This window comes from Homo sapiens, chromosome 7 (assembly GCF_000001405.40).
Source record: "Homo sapiens chromosome 7, GRCh38.p14 Primary Assembly".
Classification (NCBI taxonomy): Eukaryota; Metazoa; Chordata; class Mammalia; order Primates; family Hominidae; genus Homo; species Homo sapiens.
In genome coordinates, this window is record NC_000007.14 from 68,959,948 (window position 1) to 68,968,077 (window position 8,130).

General features: G+C 42.4%; 1 annotated feature.

The window, feature by feature from the left end:
* Positions 3,247 to 4,446: an enhancer, noted in NCBI's record as "BRD4-independent group 4 enhancer chr7:68428181-68429380 (GRCh37/hg19 assembly coordinates)". NCBI's record gives its function as "activates an origin of replication core promoter dependent on BRD2, P300/CBP, MED14 and CDK7 cofactors, and independent of BRD4, by STARR-seq in HCT116 cells {active_cell/tissue: HCT116}" and the evidence as "EXISTENCE:reporter gene assay evidence [ECO:0000049][PMID:35650434]".

Sequence of the window (8,130 nt, forward strand, 5' to 3'; positions counted from 1 at the left end):
AATTAGGAGAGAAGGAAGACAGAGGGGAGAAGAATAAGATCAGCATCTTCAATACTCAAAGAAAACAATATATTAAGAAAGGAAGCAGACTTAATCTGTGAGGCCCCAGAGAGCAGGATTAGAATGTACAAACATTTTCGGCTGGGTGCGGTGGCTCATGCCTGTAATCCCAGCACTTTGGGAGGCCGAGGCAGGTGGATCACCTAAGGTCAAAGTTCAAGACCAGCCTGGCATGATGAAACCTCGTCTCTACTAAAAGTACAAACAAAATTAGCTGGGTGTGGTAGTGGACGCCTGTAATCCCAGCTACTCGGGAGGTTGAGGTGGGAGAATCACTTGAACCCAGGAGGCGGAGGTTGCAGTGAGCTGAGATCGTGCCACTGCACTCCAGCCTAGGTGACAGAGTGAGACCCCATCTCAAATAAAAATAAAAATAAAAACGTACAAGCACAGTTACAATGAGCAAATATTTCAGGTCTGCATAAGAAAGTGCTTTCTGGTCATCAGAGCTAAGATGGGATATGTTCTATGGTTGTGAGCACCCCATCAGCAGAAGCATCCAAGCTCTTCACAAAGGGATTTCCCTATAAACTCTGAGATTCTATGATTTTCTGATCACATCAAGTGAACAGATCTACAGTAAAATCAGTAACACAAGGAAGATACATCGATTCCTGTTATTCACAGAAATTCCATTCCATAAAGCCACGGCAAAGCCTGAATTATCAAATACTGAACCATCGCTCCTAGAAGTACAGAGTTAGGTTCCCTCAAGCTTCTGGCTGTAATATTTTCATCAGCTGATCAATACATACATTTGCTTTTTGTGTGTTTCTTTTAAAGATACTTTTTATTTTATTTCGTTTTATTTTATTTTTTGAGACAGGTTCTCACTGTGTCATCCAGGCTGGAGTGCAGTGGTGCAATAATAGCTCACTGAAGACTCAAACTCCTAGAAGAAAATAATAATAATAGTAATAATAATAAAAAGACTCAAACTCCTGGGCTCAAGCGATCCTCCCACCTCAGCCTCAAGAGTAGCTGGGATTACAGCTGTGCACTACTATGTCTGGCTATATATATATATATATATATTTTTTTTTTTGAGATGGAGTTTCGCGTTTTTGCCCAGGCTGGAGTGCAATGTCACTTTTCTCAGCTCACTGCAACCTCCGCCTCCCAGGTTCAAGTGAATCTCCTGCCTCAGGCTCCCAAGTAGCTGGGATTACAGGTGCCTACCACCACGCCTGGCTAATTTTGTATTTTTAGTAGAGACAGGGTTTCTCCATGTTGGTCAGGCTGGTCTCAAACTCCCGACCTCAGGTGATCTGCCCACCTTGGCCTCCCAAAGTGCTGGGATGACAGGTGTGAGCCACCGTGCCCAGCCTGCCTGGCTATATTTTTTGTACAGATAGGGTCTCACTATTTTGCCGAGGCTGGTCTCAAACTCCTGGGCTCAAGCAGTCCTCCCACCTTGGCCTCCCAAAGTGCTGAAATTGCAGGCATGAGCCACCATTCCTGGGCTAAGAGGATTCTTTGTGATCTCAGTAACACCTACATTTTCCCCTTGGGGAACAAAAGTAGCTCATGAAAACTGGCCTATCTGTGTGGCATCAGCACCCGCACTGACCACATCACGTTCACACACATCTCCAAAATAAGAACATGATAATCACCACTGGACTCTCACTTATTAACAAGCCAAGTGTAGATTTCACATTTCTGAAGACAGGCAGAAACAGAGAGATATGAACATGAAAAAACGTTTTGATTTTTTTTCCCAAATTCAAACAACATGGCCAAAAGATGAGATCCTCCTTGAGAACAATGAACTTATTTATACTGAGTATTCTGCAAGGATGAATGATTGCTTCATTATACAAGCAAGCAGTATTTACCTTTTGGCCCAGTGCAGTGGTTTATGCCTATAATCCCAGCACTTTGCAGGGCAGAGGTGGGCAGATTGTTTGAGTCCAGAAGTTCAAGACCATCCTGGGCAACATGACAAAACCCCATCTCTACAAAAACATACAAAAAATTAGCCAGGTGTGGTGGCATGTGCCTGGAGTCCCAGCTACCCGGGAGGCCAAGGTGAGACGATCACCTGAACCAGGAAGGCAGAGGCTGCGGTAAGCCATGATCACACCACTACACTCCAGCCTGGGTGACAGTGAGACCCTATCTCAAAAATGAATAAATGGGCCAGGTGCGGTGGCTCATGCCTGTAATCCCAGCACTTTGGGAGGCCAAGGCGGGCGGATCACAAGGTCAGGAGATCAAGACCATCCTGGCTAACACAGTGAAGCCCTGTCTCTGCTAAAAATACAAAAACAAATTAGCCAGGAGTGGTGGTGGGCACCTGTAATCCCAGCTACCCAGGAGGCTGAGGCAGGAGAATGGCATGAACCCAGGAGGTGGAGCTTGCAGTGAGCCGAGATTGCACCACTGAACTCCAGCCTGGGTGACAGAGCGATACTCTGTCTCAAAAAATAAATAAATAAATAATAAACAAATGAAATGTTAAAAGCAAACAGAATTTACCGTTTTATGGATTTTCATGGAATGGTGTGTGCACATTTATTGTTAGTTCATAATAAATTGCAAGAATTGAGCCTTTGGGAGCTAAAAGGGTGCTCGATGGTAATCCAGCCTCAATGAACTCTCTCTGGGGTTGGCTGAGGACTGGCTGGTATAAAGGACAAGACTAACAAACAGTGGCCACTGGGGCAGATGTGGCAGCCCCTGTAGTTCTTTCCAGCCACAGTGGCCATGGCAGGAACCACTCTGGCTCTCAGATTCTCCAGAATCAGCCAAGTCCACTGGGTACAGAATGCTGAGGGCACTATTCACATGCTTGCCTGGCCAGAAAAAGGATGCTTCATGCTCATGGGACTGGCACTCACATGGACTATAGTGTGAAGGGTTCCTCTTGCAGTCCCACAAACCAAGCAGTGGTCCCAACAGGGAGATGAACATCAGTGCTGGAAGAGACTTGTTGGTCACCTAGCTCCTTACCTGTACATGATCCTTTATACTTTCTCAAAAAGGTCACCTCGTTATTACAAATATACCATCCCTTCTATGACCTGGATCCTGTTTCTCTCTGTAGGCTCATTGTTTGCCACTCTTTGCATAGATTGGGCATTTTTGCAGTGTCCTCAGTGGGCCAGGTTATTTTTAAAAACCACAGGGCCTTTGCCTATGCACTGTCAGTTGCTTAGAATGCCCTTGTCCTCTTGTTGTAGGATTGCCAGGTTTGTGTGCCTGCTGTGCAATGACATACGAATACACCGAGACAGCAGAGTTTGCATTAGAGAAAGAGTTTAATGATTGCAGGGCAGCCAAGCGAGGAGACAGGAGGAACCCTCAAATCTGTCTCTCCAAAGAGTTCTGGGTTGGGATTTTGTTTTTTTGTTTTTTTGTTTGTTTGTTTGTTTGTTTTTGAGACAGAGTCTTGCTGTGTTGCCCAGGCTGGAGTGCCGTGGCATGATTTCAGCTCCCTGCAACCTCTGCCTCCCAGGTTCAAGCAATTCTCTGCCTCAGCCTCCCAAGTAGCTGGAATTACAGGTATGTGCCACCATGCCCAGCTAATTTTTGTATTTTTAGTAGAGACGGGGTTTCACTGGGTTGGGATTTTATAAGGGGATCCTGGAGGGCAAGGGGCTGGAAAATTAGGGTCATTGACTGGTCAGGGAAAGGGAGATAAAATCATCAAGATGTGGAAACTGCATTCTTTGGTGAGTCAGCTCCTCTTGGAATCCTTCAGACCAGTGGATGTCGGTAGCTTCACTGGTATGCAGAACCTGAAAGAATATCTCAAAGGAAAAGCTTAACACTTCACAAAGCAGTTAAGGGGAACCATAATCTCGTGACAGGGTCTATGTGATTCTAGGACAAGAGGCGCCAAACAGCTGTGAGCAAGCAAGTTGGAGAGCAAGCAAGGTGACCTCATGATGAACCCTGAATGTGCTGCAAGCTTGGTTTATCTTCATTTCTCCCCTACTCTTCTTCCCTGATTAATTTTATAAAGTTTATAGGGACAGTGTCACTCTCACCTCCTGAGTATCTCCTACTTCTCCTTCAGGAATCAACCATGCTATCAACAGCTAGGGCTCTTATACCCTGACTCAATTGGTTTAAAGAATAGCAAAGATGTATTATCTCACAAAAGAGGAAGTCTCAAGACAAGAGGGTTCTGCAGTGGGTACATTTAGCTGCTCAAAAATGTCAAAGATGGTATTTCCATCTTTCTGCTCCATCATCCTCTGCCTGTCTTATCAGTTCCTGCAATGTTCATGGATAGCTGCCACAAGTCTAGACAAAACTTGTGGTCACAGCAGTTTCCCAAGGAAGAAAAGGCTCTATTTCACCCTGTGTGCCTCTCTTTAAGAGTGAGGAAACATTTCTCAGAATCCTTCATTGGACTTTCTCTCAATTCTCAGTGACCAGCATTGTGTAACAAACCCATGCCTAAATCAATCACTAGCAAGAGAAGGATTACTGTGATAGGATTAGCAAAGCAGGGATTACAGAAACAGAATTAAGTCCACTAGAAAAGGTGATGGTTTGGGGCTGACAACCAACACTATTTTCTGCAATCTCCCCCCACCATTGTTGCTTTAGGTGACTATGTGCGACCACTTCTCTCTATTATTTCCTCTATCACAAACCTGAACCCCTTATACAATAATTGACCATTTGCCTAAATATTAACGCTATAATCTTTGAGATTCCTAAAGCCAGACATGATGGCTTATTCACCATTATATCCTAGAACCTAGTAGATGCTTGGGGCTTCAGAATGAATGAATGGATGAATATGAGAATAACGCATGGCTGACAGCATAGGTAAAAAATAACCCTCTAATGTAGGCATTCTTTTTCCCATTCTGTCAGAGGTGTTTGAACCAAAGTGACTCCATCTTGAAGAACAGGCTGGATAAAATGAGATGGAGACCTGCTGGGCTGCACTCCCAGGAGGTTAGGTATTCTTAGTCATAGGATGAGTGAGGAGGTCAGCACAAGATACAGGTCACAAAGACCCTACTGATAAAACAGGATACAGTAAAGAAGTTGCCCCAAACCCAACAAATCCAAGATGGCGACAAAAGTGGACTCTGGTCATCCTCACTGCTCATTATACGCTAATTATAATGTATTAGCATGCTAAAAGACACTTCCACCAGCACCATGACAGTTTACAAAGCCATGGTAAGAATCCAAAGTTACCCTGTATAGTCAAAAAGGGGGAGGAGCCCTCAGTTCTGGAGAATTCCTGCCCCTTTTCCAGAAAACTCATGAATAATCCACCCCTCGTTTAGCAAATGATCAAGAAATAACCATAAAAATAGCCAACCAGCAGCCTTATGAATAGCTATTCTTTTATTTCTTTACTTTCTTAATAAACCTGCTTTTACTTTACCCTGTGAACTTGCCTCAGATTCTTTCTTGCATGAGGTCTGAGAACCCTCTCTTGGGGTCTGGATCAGAACCCCTTTCCAGTCACAATTCTACCCCAGGACAAACTCTCTTCCAGAAAGAATGAAAGATTTCTTCATCCTCATATGCAAAGGAGCAGATCCAGAACTTAACTTCAGAGTTTCTGACTCCACGTTGAACGTTGGATCCAACAGAAATGAGGGAAAGAAGGCCAGAGTATTAAATAACAGCACAGAGTAGCAATGCTTTTTAAAAATAATTTTGTTAACATGCACCAGGACTGTTTAAAATGTTGGGTATAGACACACAGAGATAATCCGAAGACTTTTTTTCCACCTGACTCAAATCTGACTCTGCCTTTAGCTTTTTTCATCCTAGAAACATTTATATAACAAATGGATCCCAATCTTTTGAGGATTCAGTTTGCAATCCTTGACAAATTAAGGACCCTGAAGAATCAATTATTTTTACTTATCTCTCAGGCTGGAGGGGAAGGAGCCCTATATTTCTGGAACTTTGGCTTTGAAACCTCTTGAAAGCATTACAGAAAACGCAAGGGAATTAGACAATAAGGATTCTTTCAAAACAGTAGGATTTAAAGGATCTTATTACCTACTTCATAATCTTACCTTAAGGCTATAGAAAGTATTAATTGGAGCAAAGACATCCAAACGGGAACAGCAACTGTAAGTCATCTATACTGTTAAAGTCAGTCTTTTATCTCTTTAATTTGTTACATTGCCTCACCCTTGGCATCTCTTTCAGATAAACCTACCCGACTCCTGACTCCCTGGAGTTATGGGTATTTTTTTTTCTTCTGGGCATAGAGAAGGAAAAAAAATTAAAAAGAGCCAGGCCAAGCGAATCAATGGCACTTCAAATCCCATTTCCTGCCTTGATCAGTGGTTGATCCCTTTCGAGGAAAGTGGGATGGAGAAAGGAGCAGGCAGGCTCCAGGCAACTGGAAAAACTCACTCCAGGTATCTCTAGAGGAAGCTTGCACATGGCCTGCATCCCAAGCACCCAATTCTTACAAGCAATAATATCCCTTTTCTGTACAGATAGTGCGAAATGCTTTAAAATAAGTTGGAACGGCTGACAGCCCCTCTGATAAATGAAAACAGAATGTACTAATCAGATCCTGTTGTTCCTCTGTGGCTAGGCCAGAAAACCACCTTCATCCCTCTCATACATTTCTGTAGTAAGATCAGAAATACTTATTTTTTTATTTGAAGTAATAATCTTTGGCCAAAAATGCTATAATCCCGTAGAAAACGCAGAGGAAAAAGCATCTTCAATCTTCTGAAAGGGGACAAAAAGCAAAATCCACTCCTGTTATAGAAAAATTTTTCTTGGTAGAATTTCCTCTCCCCATTTGTTAAAGGTTTCTGAGTGTATTCACCTAGTGTATAATTCTTTTTTTTTTTAAATAAATGCTACCTTTTTGAGAGCAATCTAGGCTGCCAAAATATTTCTCCAGTTGAAGTCCTTGAATCAATTGGCTTAGGGGCTTGTTAAAAATGCAGATTCTAGGGCGCCACTCTCAGATCTACTGGCTGCAAATCTCTGAGGGATAGGGCCAGATATTGGAAATGTCTCAACCTCTTTGGGAAGTTCCTATGCATGTAAAAATTTGAAAACCACTGGCAGGATAAATTAATTCATGGGCTTTGGAGCCAGAAGAAAACAGGATTTGAATCTGACCCTACCTTCCCAGTTTAATAAACAAGGGAAATCAGCTACCATGAAGAAAGCAGATGCATTTAATCCTTCTTGATTTAATTAGGTAAACAAAAGTTCTAGATGAATATCAGTGGCTCTAGGATGTCAGTTTCACAAAGATTTTATAGATTATAGTCAACTAACTTTATTTAATAAAGAGAGACTAGCCCTTTTAGGGAAACGCTGTGTTCCATGTAACTGACTTACATAATTTTTGTATCCATCTTTCTCAACGCCTGTCATTTCACCATAAGTTGTGAGTTAGGTGTGCCCTTTTGATTCTCACAGGTTCTGGCTATATCTGCATGTTAGACACTACAGAATAATTGCTGTTAGTAAAAGATGACTTGAATTTCAACAGTCAATCTCTCTGATATTTTGACAGATTCTAAACTTAGAAATAGCCAAAGAGCTGACCTGAGAAAGCCTGGGATCTGGGTGCTGGGTGTTTTGATTGGTAAGAATTTCAATCTTTTTTTTCAGTCTAGTTGACACTCAGCAGAACCAAGGCCCCTGTATCTAGTGAAATTGCATTAAGGAGTGGATTTTTGTATTTCTTAAAATTACACTGATTGCAATAACAGAAAACAATGTGGGTGAGCTTAAGGAAATAATGATGGTGATGATGATAATGGTGGTGATGATGTGATGATGGTGGTGATGATGATGATGATGGTGGTGATAATGGTGATGATGATGGTGATGGTGATGATGGTGATGATGATAATGATGATGGTGATGATGGTAACAGAGATATTTCAAAGAATCCAATGACAAGCTGAACAAGCAAACCAATAGAAAGACAGGAAGCCACAGATGCTCTTGAGTTTTCATCAAGAAGAGTTAATAGATCTTTGTTCTAGAACCTTGATTTTACTCCCAACATCCACGAAAGAGAGACAGAGAGACTCTAATTGACCCCCTAAAGTCACTTCTCCCTTTGACCAATGTGCCATGGCCTGGAGAAAA